This window comes from Homo sapiens, chromosome 11, assembly GCF_000001405.40.
Source record: "Homo sapiens chromosome 11, GRCh38.p14 Primary Assembly".
Taxonomy (NCBI): Eukaryota; Metazoa; Chordata; class Mammalia; order Primates; family Hominidae; genus Homo; species Homo sapiens.
This window is the reverse complement of record NC_000011.10, coordinates 93700243-93717400: the sequence shown is the minus strand read 5'-3', so window position 1 is coordinate 93717400 and position 17158 is coordinate 93700243. Positions and strand designations below refer to the sequence as shown.

Below are 17158 nucleotides of genomic sequence, written 5' to 3'. Positions count from 1 at the left end.
TATGCATTCCCCCTCACCGCAACAGGTCAGACGCTCAGCTTTGTTCAACTATAGGTGCGTTCCTCGTAGTCTTTAGCTAGAGGTTATCAACAAATAGAATAAAAAGAAAATGCAAATATCCATTGTGTAAATAAAAAAGTGATGCAGCGGGTAGGGGTGGAGCAAGAGAGACGGAATAGAAGCTTCCACCAACTGTCCTCACCACAGGAACTTCAAAGTTGGCAACTGAGGCGGGAAATTAAAGAAAAATAAAATTAAAGAGAAATAAGCTTTCCTGTATTAGGCTGACTTGTCCCAGAGGCAGCAACAGGCACAGCCCAGACCCAGGAAAAGTCTTAATAATATTATCTAATGTGCTCTGTAGACTCTCCCAGCACTCCTTCAACATAGGGAGAAGAAAAACAAATTTTCCTTTGTTTTATGGTATAAGTTTATAGATTTTATAGATTCCTGTTCTCTGTAACTAGTAACTTCAAGAATTCTGTTTTGTCTAAGAAGTACATCAAAGGTCATGAGAAGCCTAAGCAGGCCTGAACTACAGCTGCCTAGGCACCATAGTGAAGGTTACGAGATAAACCAGTGCAAGGCTCTTTAGAGCAAAATCTAGATAATGGGCATCTGGGTTGCACAGCGATGGTCATGTGCAATCCTGAGTTATGAACTTGTTACAATTTGATTAACTGTCTTTGTCCTGCCTCTGTATCCCTGCTTTCACACCACTGTAAGCTTGCTTCAAGCTAGCCCACCCCCTTTTGTGAAGTGTGTATAAAAGCCAAGTACTGTCTTTGTTCTGCGCCCAGTCTTTAGACGTTGAGTCTGCTGGGTCTGAGTGCACTCAATAATAAAGATACCCTCCTGTATACACCCCAAGGTCTCTCCCTGGTCCTCCTGATTACACAACAGCAACCATATAAAAAAGTACCTTCATACGAACCAAAAATCCGGTGAGCAATCACAGTACCTGGTTTTAACTTCATATCGCTGACAGAGGCACTGAAGAGGATAGCAAAGACAGTCTTGAAATGCCAACACCACCCTTCCCTCATCTCCAGGCAGTGGCCACATGGTGCGGAGAGAGAATCTGTATGCTTGGGGGAAGGAGAGCTCAGCCATTCTGGGACTTTGCATTGGAACTCAGTGTGGCCAGCACCAAGTAGAACTCTGCCAGTGCCCTTGGAGGGAGCATTTAGACCAGCCCTAGCCAGAGGGGAAGTATCCACTCTAGCAGTTGGAAGTTGAGTTTTGGCAAGTCTTGTCACTACGGGCTAAATTTAGTGCTCTGGAGTCCTAAACAAACTTGAAAGGCTGTTTAGGCCACAAAGACTGCAACTGCAGCACTAGGCAAGTCCTAGTGCTGTGCTGGGCTCAGAGCTTGTAGACTTGGAGGGGTCACATGACCTAGTGAAAACCAGCTAGGGTGGCGAAGGGAGTGCTTGTGCTACCCCTCCCCTAATCCCAGGCAGCACAGCTCACAGCTCCAAAAGAGACCCCCTCCTTCTGCTTGCGGAGAGAAGGGGAAGAATAAAGAGGACTTTGTTTTGCAAATTGAATACCCACTCAGTCACAGAAGAATAAGGCACTGGGAGGACTTATGAGGTCCCCATACTAGGACCTAGCTGTTGGATGACATTTATGGACACATCCTGGGCTAGAAGAGAACCTGCTGCCTTCAAGGGAAGGACCCAGTCCTGGCAGGATTCATCACCTGCTGATTAAAGAGCCCTTGGGTCCTAGCAGTGGTAGCCAAGTAGTATATGCCATGGGCCTTAGGTGAGACTCTGAGACATGATGGCTTCATGTGTGACCCAGCATATTCACAGCTGTGATGGCTATGAGAAGAGACCCCTTCTGCTTGAGAAAAGCAGAGGGAAGAATAAAGGGGACTTTGCCTTGCAGCTTAGGTACCAGCTTGGCCACAGTGGGGAATAGCACCAAGTGGGATCTTGGAGTCCCCGATTCCAGGCCTTGGCTCTTGGATGGCATCTCTGAACCTACCCTGGGTCAGAGAGGAGGAAGCCCACTGCCCTGAAGGAAGTCCCATGCCTGGCAGCATTCACAACAAGCTAACTGAAGAGCCACTGGGCCTTAAGTGATCATCAGTGGTACCATGATAGTACTCTCCATAGGCCTGTGGTGGTGGTGGACAAGGGGAGAGAGTCCTTTGCCTAAGGAAGGGGAGGGAACAGTGGAAAGGACTTTGTTTGTGATTTTGGTGCCTGCTTAGCCACAGTAGAGTACCCAGTAGAGTTCTAAAGATCCCGATTCCAGGCACTGACTCCTGGACAACATCTCTGGATTTGCCCGGGGCCACTTGCCACCCTGAAGGCAAGGACATAAGACCAGCTGGCTTCACCACCTGCTGACTGTAGAGCCCTAGGGCCTTGAATGAACAAAGATGGTAGGCAGGTAGTGGTTACAGTGGGCCTTGGGCAAGACCCAGTACTGTGCTGGCTCAGGTCTGACACAGCACAGTCTCAGAGATGATGGCCACAGGGGTGCTTGTGTCACCCCTCCCCCCAGCTCCAGGCAGCTCAGCACAGAGAGAGAGAGAGAGAGAGGCTGACTGACTCTATTTGTTTGGGAGACAGGAAGGTAAAGAATAAGAGTCTCTGCTGGATAGTCCAGAGAATTCTTCTGGATCTTATCCAAGACCACCAAGGCAGTACCTCTATGAGTCTGCAAGAACTACAGTGTTACTGAGCTTGGGGTATCCCCTAATGAAGACATGGCTGCAGTGACCAAAAACTTAGATCACAACACTGAAGTCCCTTTGAATACTCAGAAAGCTGTCCCAAGAAGGATGGGTACAAGCAAGCCCAGAATGCAAAGACTGTAAGGAATACCTAACTCTTGGCAGGGCATGGTGGCTCACGCCTGTAATCCCAGCATTTTGGGAGGCCGAGGCGGGTGGAACATGTGGTCAAGAGATTGAGACCATCCTGGCCAACATGGTGAAACCCCGTCTTTACTAAAAATACAAAAATTAGCTGGGCGTGGTGGCACGCGCCTGTAGTCCCAGCTACTTGGGTGGCTGTGGCAGGAGATTCGCCTGAACCTGGAAGGCAGAAGTTGCAGTGAGCTGAGATCATGCCACTGCACTCCAGCCTGGAGACAGAACAAGACTCCGTCTCAAAAAAAGAAAAGAAAGAAACACCTAACTCTTTAATGCCCTGGTACCAATGAACATCCACAAACATCAAGACCATACAGGAAAACATGACTTCACCAAACTAAATAAGGGACCAAGGGCCAATCCCTGAGACACAGATATGTGACATTTCAGACAGAGAATTCAAAAGTAGCTGTTTTGAGGAAACAAAGAAACTCAAGATAACACAGAGAAGGAATTCAGAATCCTATCAGATAAATAAAATGAAGGCAGTGAAATAGTTAAAAAGAATCAAGCAGAAATTCTGGAGCTGAAAAATGCAATCGACATACTGAAGACTGGATCAGTCTCTTAATAGTAGAACTGATCAAGCACAATGAATTAGTGAACCTGAAGACAGGTTATTTGAAAATGCACAGAGGAGACAAAAGATAAGAGAATTAAAAAGAATGAAGCATGCCTACAAGATCTAGAAAATAGCTTTAAAAGGGTAAATCTATGAGCTACTGGCCTTAAAGAGAAGGTAGAGAGACAGGGATAGAGTTTGTTCAAAGGGATAATAACAGAGAACTTCCCAAACCTAGCGAAAAATATCAATATTCAAGTACAAGAGGAACAGAGAACACCAAGCAGATTTAACCCAAAGAAGACTATCTCAAGGCATTTAATAATCAAATTCCCAAAGGTGAAGGATAAAGAAAGAATCCTAAAAGCAGCAAGAAAAAAATAAACAAATAATATACAATGGAGCTCCAATACGTCTAGCAGCAGACTTTTCAGGAAACCTTACAGGCCAGGAGCGAGTGGCATGACACATTAAAAGTGCGGATCTGGCAAAAATATCCTTCAAAAGTAAAGAAGAAACAAAGACTTTCCTAGACAAAAGCTGAGGGATTTAATCAAAACCAGACCTGTCCTACAAGGGATAATCAAGGGAGTTCTTCAATTGGAAAGAAAACATTAGTAAGCAATAAAAAATGATCTGAAGGTACAAAAATCACTGGTAATAGTAAGTACACAGAAATACACAGAATATTATAAAACTGTAATTGTTTTGTGTAAACTACTCATACTTAAACAGAAAGACAAAAAGATGAACAGATCAAAAATAATATGTACGACTTTTCAAGATATAGACAGTACAATAAGACATAAATAGAAACAACAAAAAGTTAAACAGCAGGGACACAAAGTTGAAGTATAGGGCTTTTATTAGTTTTCTCTTTGCTTGTTTATGCAATCATTCCTAAGTTGTCATCAGTTTTAAATAATGGGTTATAAGATATTATCTGCAAGCTTCAGGGTAACCTCAAATTTAAAAACATACAACAGATACAAAAAAAAAAATAAAAAGCAAGAAATCAAAACATACCACCAGAGAAAATCACCTTCACTAAAACAACAACAACAACAACAACAACAACAACAACAACAAAACAGAAGAAAGAAAAGTAGGAAGAGAAGACCAAAAAATAACCAGAAAACAAATAACAAAATGACAAGAGTAAATCATTACTTATCAATAATAATGTTCAATGTAAATGGACTAAACTCTCCAAGCAAAAGACATAGTGTGGCTGAATGGATAAAAAAACAAGATCCAATGATCTGTTACCTACAAGAAATACACTTCACCTATAAAGAAACACAGACTGAAAACAAAAACATTGAAAAAGATGCAAATGGAAAACAAAAAACAGCAAGAGTAGCTATACTTATATCAGAAATAATAGACTTTGGCCAGGTGTGGTGGCTTATGCCTGTAATCCTAGCAGTTTGGGAGGTCTAAGTGGGTGGATTACCTGAGGTCAGGAGTTCGAGACCAGCCTGGCCAACATGGCGAAACCCCGTCTCTACTAAAAATACAAAAATTAGCCAGGTGTGGTGGCGCATGCCTGTAATCCAAGCTACTTGGGAGGCTGAAGCAGGAGAATCACTTGAACCCACGAGGCGGAGGCTGCAGTGAGCCAAGATCCTACCACTGTACTCCATACTCCAGCCTGGGTGACAGAGTGAGACTCTGTCTTAAAAAAATAAATAAATAAATAAAATTTCAAGACAAAAACCATAGGAAAAAAAAAAGCAGGTCATTATATAATGATAAGGGGTTAATTCAGCAAGAGGATGTAACAATTATAAACATATATGCACCCAACACTGGAGCATCCAGACATATAAGGCAAATATTATTACAGCTAAAGAGATAGCTAGACCCCAGTAAAATAATAGCTGGAGACCTCAACATCCCACTTTCAGCATTGGATAGATCTTCCAGACAGAAAATCAACAAAGAAACATTGGGCTTAATCTTCACCATAGACCAAATGAACCTAACAGATATTTACAGAACATTTCATCCAATGGCTACAGAATACATATTCTTCTCCTCAGCACATGGATCATTGTCAGAGACAGACCACATGTTAGGCCACAAAACAAGGCTTAAAACATTAAAAAAAAAAAAACAAACAAACTTAAATAGCCCAGGAGTGGTGGCTCAAGCCTGTAATCCCAGCACTTTGGGAGGCTGAGGTGGGCGGATCACTTGTTCCTGGGCGGTCAGGAGTTTGAGACCAGCCTGGCCAATATGGTGAAACTCCATCTATACTAAAAATACAAAAATTAGCTAAGCATGGTGGCACATGCCTGCAGTCCCAGCTATTTGGGAGGCTGAGGCAGAAGAATTGCTTGAGTCCAGGAGATGGAGGCTGCAGTGGGCCAAGATCGTGCCACTGCACTCCAGCCTGGATGACAGAGCTAGACTCTGTCTCAAAACAAAAACAAAAACAAAAACAAAAACAAAAACAAAACTGAAATAATAACACTTGTCTTCTCTGACCACAGTGGAATAAAACTAGAAATCAGTAACAAGATAAATTTTGGAAACTATACAAACACATGGAAGTTAAACAGTATGCTCCTGAATGACCAGTGGGTCAATGAAGAGACTAATAAAGAAACTGAAAATTTCTTGAAACAAATAATGGAGACACAACATACCCAAACTTATGAAATACAGCAAAAGCAGTACTAAGAGGGAAATTTATAGCTATTTAAGTATCTACATAAAAAAAGAAGAAAAACTTCAAATCAACAACCTAAAAATGCATCTTAAAAAACTAGAAAAGCAAGAGCAAATCAAACCTAAGGTTGGTGGAAGAAAAGAAATAATAAAGATCAGAGGAGAAATAAATGAAAGGGAAACAAATAAAATAATGCAAAAGATCAAGAAAACAAAAATTGGTTTTATGAAAATATTTAAAAAATTGACAGATCTTTAGTCAGACTAATTACAAAAAAAGAAGGTCCAAATAAAATCAGAAATGAAAAAGGAGACATTACAACAGATACTGCAGAAATTTAAAGGATCGTTAGAGACTACTATTAGCAACTATAGGCCAAAATTGGAAAACTAGAAGAAATGAATAAATTCCTAGACACATACAACCTACCAAGGTTGAACCATGAAGAAATCCAAAACCTGAGTAGACCAATAACAAGTAATGAGATCAAAGCTGAAATAAAAAGTCTCCCAGCAAAGAAAAGCTCAGGACACTATCGCTTCACTGCTGAATTTTACCGAACACTTAAAGGCAAACTAATACCAATCCCACTCAAACTATTCTGAAAAACAGAAGAGGAAGAAATACTTCCAAACTCATTCCACAAGGCCAGTATTGCCCTAATCCCAAAACCTGACAAAGATGCAATAAAATAAAATTTACAAGTTAATATCTCTGATGAATACTGATGCTAAAATACTAGCAAATCGAATTCAACAACACATTAAAAAGATCATTCATTATGACCAAGTGGAATTTATCCCAAGGATGCAAGGATGGTTCAATGTATGCAAAATAAACAATGTGATACATCCTATCAACAGAATGAAGGACAAAAACCACATGATCATTTCAATTGATGCTGGAAAAGCATTTGATAAAATTCAACATTCCTTCATGATAAAAACCTTAAAAAACTGGGTACAGAAGGAACATAACACAATAAAAGCCATATATGACAGATCCACAGCTAGTATCATACCAAATGGGGGAAAACCTGAAAGCCTTTCCTCTAAGATCTGAAACACAAGGATGCCTGCTTTCACCACTGTTACTCAACATATTAATGGTACTGGAAGTCCTAGCTAGAGCAATCGCACAAGACAAGGAAATAAAGAGCATCCAAGTTGGAAAGGAAGAAGTCAAATTATCCTTTGATACGAGCTTATATCTGGAAAAAACCTAAAGACTCCACAAGAAAACTATTATAACTGATAAATTCAGTACGGTTGCAGGATACAAAATCAACATACAAAAACCAGTAGCATTTCTATATGCCAAAAGCAAATCACCTGAAAAGAAATCAAGAAAGTAATCCCATTTACAACAGCTACAAAGAAAATTAAATACCTAGGAATTAACCAAAGAAGTGAAAGATTTCTACAATGAAACTTGTAAAAGATTGATGGAAGAAATTAAAGAGGACACACAAAAAATGGAAAGATATTCCATGTTCCTGGATTGGAAGAATCTCAACATTATTAAAATGTCCATACTACCCAAAGCAATCTGCAGATTCAATGCAATCCCTATCAAAATACCAATGATATTCTTCATAGAAATAGAAAAAAAATCTTAAAATTTATATGGAACCACAAAAGACCCAGAATAGCCAAAGCTATCCTGAGCAAAAAGAACAAAACTGGAGGAATCTACCTAACTTCAAATTATACTACAGAGCAACAGTAATCAAAACAGCATGGTACTAGCATAAAAAGAGACACACACAGATCAATGGAACAGAATAGAGAACACAGGAACAATTTCATACATTTACTGTGTACTCAGTTTTGAGAAAGGTGCCAAGAACGTACATGGGGGAATAGAGAGTCTCTTCAGTAAATGGTGCTGGGAAGACTGGATACCCACATATGGAAGAATAAAACTAGACCCTATCCCTCACCATATACAAAAATCAAACCAAAATGGATTAAAGATTTAAATCTAAGGCCTCAAATTTGAAACTACTAAAAGAAAACATTGGGGAAACCCTCCAGGTCACTGGTCTGGGCAAAGGATTTCTTGAGCAATACCCCACAAGCACAGGAAACCAAAGCAAAAATGGACAAATGGAATCACATCAAATTAAAAAGCTTTTGCAAAGCAAATGAAACAATCAATAAAGTGAAGAGACAACCAATAGGATGGGAGAAAATGTTTGTAATTACCCATCTGACAAGGGATTCATAACTAGAATATATAAGGAGCTCAAACAACTCTGTAGGAAAAAATCTAATTACCTGATTAAAAAATGGGCAAAAAATCCAAACAGACATTTCTCAGAAGAAATACAAATGGCAAACAGGCAAATGAAAAGGTGCTCAATCAACACCAGTGATCATTAGAGAAATGCTAATCAAAACTACTTTGAGATATCCTGCCAGTCCAGTTAAAATGGCTTTTATCTAAGACAGGTAATAATGAATGTTTTGCAAAGATGTGGTGAGAAGGGAACACCGTTGGTGGGAATGTAAATCAGTACAGCCACTATGAAGAGCAGTTTGGAGGTTCCTCAAAAAACTAAAAATATTACTACCATATGATTCGGCAATCCTGCTGCTAGGTATATACTCAAAAGAAAGTAAATCAGTACACTGAGGAGATATCTGCACTCCCATGTTGACTGCAGCACTGTTCACAATAGCCAAGATTTGGAAGCAACCTAAGTGTCCATCAACAAACAAATGGATAAAAAAAAAGTGGCACGTATCACAATGGAGTACAATTCAGCCATAAAAAGGAACAAAATCATGTCATTTGCAATAACATGGATGGAACTGGAGGTTATTATGTTAAGTGAAATAAGCCATACACAGAAAGACAAACTTCACATGTTCTCACTTATTTGTGGGAACTCAAAATTAAGACAACTGAACTCACGGAGATAGAGAGTAGAACAAAGGTTATCAGAGGCTGGGAAGCGTAGTTGGGGGTCGTTGGGGGAGTGGGGATGGTTAATGGGCACAAATAAGCAGTTAGATAGCAAAACAGGGTGACTATAGTGAATAATTTCTTTGTACATTTTGCAATAACTAAAACTATAATTGAATTGTTTGTAATAAAGTATAAATGCTTGAGGTGATGGATACCCCATTTACCATGATGTGAATATTACACATTGTATACCAGTATCAAACTATCCCATATACCCCATAAATAGATACACCTACTATGTAGCCACAAAAATTAAAAATTAAAAAAAGAATAATCTGTTTTATTTTAAAATGTCAAAAATTATAGCTCACTGAAAATTATATCCTTTACAGTTATTTTAATCCACAATTTAAAGAGATGTTAAAGTCAATTTTTTAATAAACCCTCAAAAGAATATCCCTTTCCTTCATCTCTCATTCCACTCAACTATAGATACAAGTAAGGTATCTTGTATAGATACAAGTAAATTATCTTACTAGGTGTACAGCTAAAATAAAAATAAATCTGGCTATAAAATGTAACTTCTTCTTTTTTTTTTTCAGATGGAGTCTCGGAGTCTCGCTCTGTCGCCCAGGCTGGAGTGCAGTGGCTTGATCTCGGCTCACTGCAAGCTCTACCTCCCAGGTTCACGCCATTCTCCTGCCTCCCTACAGGACTACAGGTGACCACCACTACACCCGGCCAATTTTTTGTATTTTTAGTATAGACAGGGTTTCACGGTGTTAGCCGTGGTCTCAATCTTCTGACCTCATGATCTGCCAGTCTTGGCCTCCCAAAGTGCTAGGATTACAGATGTGAGCCACTGCACCCGGCCAAAATGTAACTTCTTAAAAGATGCCTTACAACTAATAAAATAGTACTACAACTATACTTTGTAGGATCAGTACACAAATTATATATAAAATATCCTGTGCTATATATATATACATATATAAATTCAGAAGCGAGAAGATTAACATTGGCTGTCTTTGGGTGTTAGGATTAAGTGATTTAAATATTTTTCCTTCTAATTATCTTTATTTTTCCAAATATTTAAAAATAAACATAAAACAGCTTATTTAGAATGCCCACAGATAGAATTTTTAAAATATTTAACAGTATTTAATTAGATATGGATTGTTACAAATAGGCTTAAACATAAAATTTATGGATGCTGCCAATTGTATAAAACTCCTACCTTGATAAACTTCTTACTGGCATTTAATAAAACAATTTAAAAGCAAAATTACTCATTTAACAACTGCATAGAACAATATAGTTAACTGCATCATAACGATTCCATTAACAGCAGTAACTAAGTTTATTTACCATTTTTCACCATTACAAATAACAAAATAATAAATATCTTTTGTCCACATATCCTTGTGCATACAATTCCACTTTCCATTTATTTCTCACCTGCTTCATCATAGTCATCACCACAGACATTCTCTTGGCCAACCAGTTGAAGACAACTAAACGGATCATGGGCCAGTGGGCTCCCAAAGAAACTTTGTTCTCGGCTTATTGAGACTCGCAGGGGGTCTCTGTCTTCATAAATACCTGGTTTACCTGGGGGGGAAAAAATATTTCCACTTCAATTTCTGGAACTATTAATAGCTAGAACTAAAGTGCCAATTTATATTATGGGTAGAAATCTAAGCTCTTAAAGACTTACTGTATATAGCAATAATTCCTTACCTTTCACAGTCAAGCTTTTATATTATTTGTATTCAATTTTACTAAGCTTTTAATGATGCTGCTACCTCACCACATCAGATTATGCCTCAGTATTGACTAATCACAAAGAAAATTCGTGGAGAATTTACCAGCCATTATAACATGCATTCATAATTTATATATAAAGTTCAAAAATAACCACAACTAATTTGTGGTATAGGAATCAAGATATGGTTTAGAAGACAGGGGATGATAACTGGGAAGGTAAAAGAGAAGTGTTTACTGGGTTCTCTAATGTTCCACTTCTTGACCTGGTGGTGTTTACATGAAACAAACATGATTTGTGCACCTCTTTGAAGGTTATATTTTGATAAAGCATCGCCCCAAAAATTGGGAATTAAGGGCGCTAGGCACTACTACAAAAGGAATACATGCAGCAGGAAACTAAAAACAGAACATTTAAGACTATGCACTTGGAAGAGTTATCCCTCTCCTGAGATCCCTGTCCATCAACATCATCCCCAGAGGAAACTAAAGGTTTATTCTCTGGAGAAAACGAATCTGATACACTCTGGGGTCCAGGGGATCAGGCACAGAAAGCAGGCAAGAGTGGAAGGGGGTGACAGAATGCCATAAGGAAATCAGAGGGTGTTAAAGTCTGCATCCTCAATCCAGATCTCCTAGGTCTGGCTCAATAATATCAACAGCCAGGCTTATATCAAGCTTAAAAGGTATTTCTTTGAAGAAACTAAACTTCTCTCAAGGAATGGAACTACAGATACTAAGGTGAGCGTCCTCACTACAAAGCCATACTTTTTCCAATAAAGTCCAACAGCACATATAGCCCCTCACCCCAAGAGAACCTCCAATTGGCCTTTTAGCATCCCGTTCAAATATGAAGACATTAGAGGAAAGGTTCTAAAGTATAAGACAGAGACAACAAAAAAATGAAAGAACTAAAAAATGTAAAAACCCAAACCAAAAAATCCACTGTAAATATTTAAAGTAGACAACATTCTGCATCCATGAAACAATAGCAGGATGCTATAAAAAAAGAAAATAATCAGAGAAAAAGAGTAACCTTTTAGAAACTACAATTTGATCATCAAAAGTTCAAAAGAAAAGTCAGAACACAAAATTAAGAAAATTAGCCCACAAAACAAAACCCAAAGAAAAAGAAAGAGAAGAAAAAATGGAAAGATCAATATAGATCAGTATTTCTCAACCTTATTTTTATCATCCCTTAAGGAGTCTTTTTAGACTTTTCCTTTTTAAACTGCCTCTACCCCCGTTCAGTTTTAATAACCACAAATATACTGTATATCTATTTATGCATATTTGTGCTTTGTACATATAAATAGTAAAAGTTTTTTTTCACCTCCCCAAGAACCAATTTTTATCCCTCTGGGGGAAAAAACACCCTTGTTAAGAATGCATAGCACGGCCCATACAACTTCCAACTAAAAGGTGTTCCACAAAAAGAGAAAATAGTACAAACTACATTATATTGAGAGGTATTTAACTGAAGTAGTAGAGAGTGGAAAGACAGACACTCTAAAAACTTTAAGCAAATTAAATAAATAAGACAATTTACTACATGAAAAAAAGTTTAGAAAAATAAAATATAATAACATAATATACTAATGGACTCCGCAGCAAAAAAGGTCTATGTATCACCATAATGACAATTTAGCTTAATTTTTGCTTAAACCCACTGCAACTATGGAAGTAAATACAAGAAGAAATACTTAAAATACTTGAAAAGTAACTGCCTCTAGTGAGTGGTATTAAAGGGTGTGTAGGGGCAGGAAGAACTGCTGTTTTATGTTATACCTTTCAGCGCTATTTCCCTTTTTAAATTACTTGCATGTAATATGATGATAGAAGTATTACCCTAAGAAGTATGGTAAAGGCTATGATGAGACCAAGACTTCATGAGAAGGAAATCTGAATAAGTTTACCAAACCAATGACACTTACTAAGTCTTGAAGGGAGGAAGAGAAAGATCATGAGGGCCTGGTAGTTCACCTACCAGGGGTTTTGGTAGGGATTTTAGTTCACCTACCTAGGGGTCTTGACTTATTTAGACTTACTCCTAGACTTAAAAGAAACCACTGCAGTCTCAACCCCCTGGGCTCAAGTGAGCCTCCTACCTCAGCCTCCCAAGTAGCTGAACACTACAGGCAAGCGCCACCAGAGGGGGTTTCCCTGCATTACACCAGGCTGGTCTCGATCCTCCCATCTCAGCCTCCCAAAGTGCTGGGATTACAGGTGTGAGTCATTGCACCTGGCATACCTCCCTTAATTCTTTCAAATGCTCAGAAACACAGGTACAATATTTTATAGCTGAAGATCAAACAGCTAATATTAACATTACAGCTTTTTTTTCAACTACTATACTAATGGGGATACAACTTCTAAGTACCTTTCTATTGACAAAGCTAATGTTCCCCTTTAAAAAATAATTTATTTTGATAAATTTGATCGAGAAAATTATTTAGTGAATCTGAATTCTAAAAAAAATTATGAAATTCACATAAGACTATTTATTAAGAATTACAGAGATGGGGCCGGGCGCAGTGGCTCAAGATTATAATCCCAGCACTTTGGGAGGCCGAGGCGGGCGGATCACAAGGTCAGGAGATGGAGACCATCCTGGCAAACACGGTGAAATCCCGTCTCTACTAAAAATATAAAAAAATTAGCTGGGCTTGGTGGCGGGTGCCTCTAGTTCCAGCTCCTCGGGAGGCTGAGGCAGGAGAATGGCGTGAACCTGGGAGGCGGAGCTTGCAGTGAGCCGAGATTGCGCCACTGCACTCCAGCCTGGGCGACAGAGCGAGACTCTGTCTCAAAAAAAAAAAAAAAAAAAGAATTACAGGGATGAGTGTTTTATTATTTTTTTCTGACACCTGGATGTAGAAAGTAGTACAGTGAATAAATATATCTAATTGACCACAAAGCCAGGATTTAAGCATAATAATCCTATAAAAATATAAGAAAAGAACAGAACAGTGAAGGTAGGAAAGTAGAAAGTGACAAAGGAAAAGAGAAAAAAAAAAAACCTGAGTGTATCCTAAAAGAAACACATTTAGAAGGCAGACATGAAAGGAAACGGGGAGCAAGACTGTCAGAAGATGGAAAACCAAAAAATTTTTGCCTACAATAAGTTGTTTTCCCCATATACAAGATAAAGAAACTACATAGTCATAGTTATTACCAATGCCACATTTCCTTAAGTCCAAATTTTAAATACTGTTTAAATAAGCCATTTTTTCCTTTTCATGAAAGTCAGTCTAGGTTTCTTTTTTTTTTTTCCATCTCCTTTTTCTGCTATAAGTTTAACAAAAAACATTTAGCACTCTGAAAAAATGTAGACCAGGTGCGGTAGCTCACGCCTGTAATCCTAGCACGTCGGGAGGCTGAAGCAGGCAGATCACCTGAGGTCAGCAGTTCAAGACCGGCCTGGCCAATATGGTGAAACCCTGTCTCTACTAAAAATACAAAAATTAGCTGGGTGTGGTGGCGGGCGCCTGTAATCCCAGCTACTCGGGAGGCTGAGGCAGGAGATTTGCTTGAACCCAGAAGGCAGAGGTTTCAGTGAGCTGAGATCACACCATTGCATTCCAGCCTGGGCAACAGAGCAAGGCTCCATCTAAAAAAAAAGTAGAAAACTGGCAAATTATTTAAAAATCTTGTTTTATCAAAGCATCTATTTACCTAGTATAGAAGTTCTGCCAATTGCTGGTGACTCTACTTCTTGTATAGCACTAAGTTCATGCTGGTTTAAGTCCAAACCACATTTGACTTTTGCTACAGGTGGCTTTGAGGATCTTCTCCCCAGATCTTTCTCCAGATGCTCACCTATTAAGTCAATGACAAAGTTGGATACAATACAAAATCTATTAACATACTTCTAACTTTTCTTCAACTAGCAAGCTACAGGGGACGAAAACAAGGAATAATCAGTGAAATAATTACAATCAAACACAATTATCTTACCACTTTGCTTGGCACTAGTATCTTCTGAAGCCAAATGATTATCATCAGAGTTGTTCCTATCTGCATGCCTAATATTTTCTTGATCATTTCCTGCTAGGTCTTGTGTATTAGGAAACCAGTCTCTGAGCTGCCCCATCTTCTGGGTTTTTAAATCATTTTCAACTGTGGGCTTACTTATCTGAAAAAGTGGAGATGAGGGTGGGGAAGCACAAGTTGGGGGATCATGTGAAGCATTATTCATTAGATTTATATCTCCCTTCTTAAATTAGAACGTAAACCAAATAAATAGTTCCATCAATCACAAAATTTTATCTATATATAAAAAATAAGATATGCTTCTAATGCCAAAAGGATATTTCCATTGAAAATACAACCATTCGGCCAGGCGCGGTGGCTCACGCCTGCAATCCCAGCACTTTGGGAAGCCAAGGTGGGCAGGACACCTGAAGTCAGGAGTTCAAGACCAGCCTGGCCAACATGGTGAAATCCCGTCTCTACTAAAAATACAAAAATTGGCTGGGCGTGATTGTGCATGCCTGTAATCCTGGCTACTTAGGAGGCTGAGGCAGGAGAATCACTTGAACCTGGAAGGCAGAGGTTGCAGTGAGCCAAGATCGTGCCACTGCACTCCAGCCTGCAGCCTGGGCAGCAGAGCAAGATTTCGTCTCAAACAACAACAACAACAACAACAAAAACAACAACCATTCACAGCCTTGGACTTAAAAACTTAGCCTACAGCCAGGTGCAGTGGCTCACGCCTGTAATCCTAGCACTTTGGGAGGCCGAGTTGGGCAGATCATGATGTCAGGAGATTGAAACCAGCCTGGGCAACATGGCAAAACCCTGTCTCTACAAAAAATACAAAAGTTAGCTGGGCATGGTGGTGCATGCCTGTAATCCCAGCTACCCGGGAGGCTGAGGCAGGAGAATCGCTTGAACCAGGGAATCAGAGGTTGCAGTGAGCCAAGATGACGTCACGGCACTCCAGCCTGGTGACAGAGCAAGACTCCGTCTCAAAAACAAACAAACAAACAAACAAAAAACAAACAAAAAAAAACTTAGCCTCCATTTCATCTTTCCATAAGAGATTATATTTGAGTATTTCCCTCTGCTTTTCTTTTGCCATTACTTTTCCTTTAAATGACCAGTAAATCTCTTGACGTTAACTCTTCCTGAACCCAACTCAAGCTTCTTCTCGACATCAAAGGATTTGTAGAATTCTATTTAGACTAAATAATAAATTTAGGAAGTGGCCTTTCATTTATTTATTTTTTTGAGATAGGGTCTCCCTCATCGCCCAGGCTGGAGTACAGTGGCATAATATGGCTCACTGCAGCCTCAACCTCCTGGGCTCAAGTCATCCTCCCACCTAAGCCTCCAGAGTTGCTAGGACTAGAGGTACATGCTACCATGCCTGGCTAATTTTTGTATTTTTTGTAGAGACAGGGTTTTGCCATGTTGCCCAGGCTGATCTTGAACTCCTGGGCTCAGGAGATCCACCTGCCACGGCCTCTCAAAGTGCTGGGATTATAAGGCCTGAGTCACCATGTCCAGCAGAACTGGCCTTTTAAAATAAAACAGATACATTCAAATTTAGAACATACCCTTGTCTCCCAGATAGGGCAACTATGAATGAGTCACTGGGCCGAGTCTTATGAACAATTCAGATAAAAGCAGCAGGTCCAGCTCTACATCAGCCTAAAATCATGCCCGTTTTACAACAAACCATAATAGTGTCACTTGAGAAAAAAGATGGTATTGATTTTGATTTGTATATAAATGTCAACAAAGAGCACAATGTCTGTTGCTGCATAAGAGAAATTCTGCTAACCAGTTATTTTTACAATTTAAATCTTATGGTAAGCTTAAAATACATTAAAACAAAACTCTAAAATAAGAATCTACATTGTTTTGTGGTGTGTTTGCAGGTGAAATTAATTGAGCTTTGGGTCAGGTGTGGTGGCTCACACCTGTAATCCCCGCACTTTGTAATCCCAGCAACATGGGGAAACCCTGTCTCTATTAAAAAAAAAAAAATACAAAATTTAGCCAGGCATGGTGGTACATGTCTGTAATCCCAGCTACTTGGGAGACTGAGGCACAAGAACCACTTAAACCCAGGAGGTAGGGGTTGCAGTGAGCCGACATGGTGCCACTCTACTCCAGCCTGGACAACAGAGCGAGACCTTGTCTCAAAAAAAAAAAAAAAAAGCAAAAACAAAAGAAAATTTAAAAAAATTAATTGGACTTCACGTAACTATTAACCTCATAAACACCATGTGGGTGGATCGATTTTTGTTTTAACTTCCACATCATTTAGGGTGAAAAATCAAAGCACAGTTAAGGTCAAACTACTTTTTCTCAATAACTGAAAACTTGTAATCCTAGTATTAAA

At 39.2% G+C, this 17158-nt stretch overlaps 1 protein-coding gene across 21 annotated transcripts in view; it reads right to left on the bottom strand.

Moving 5' to 3' along the window:
• The window catches only part of CEP295 (centrosomal protein 295), a 68677-nt gene that overhangs the window by 12958 nt on the left and 38561 nt on the right, over positions 1 to 17158 (bottom strand). For 12 of the 21 annotated variants that reach the window (XM_011543047.2, XM_005274366.2, XM_017018470.2 and 9 more), the window contains 3 exons: positions 14764 to 14941; positions 14482 to 14625; positions 10504 to 10656 (listed from right to left, as the gene is read on the bottom strand). In XM_011543047.2, the coding sequence (XP_011541349.1) occupies positions 10504 to 10656; positions 14482 to 14625; positions 14764 to 14941 (475 nt within the window). The remainder of the gene's footprint in view (positions 1 to 10503; positions 10657 to 14481; positions 14626 to 14763; positions 14942 to 17158) is intronic. The other 9 variants (XM_011543049.2, XM_017018472.2, XM_017018471.2 and 6 more) reach the window with 1 other exon arrangement.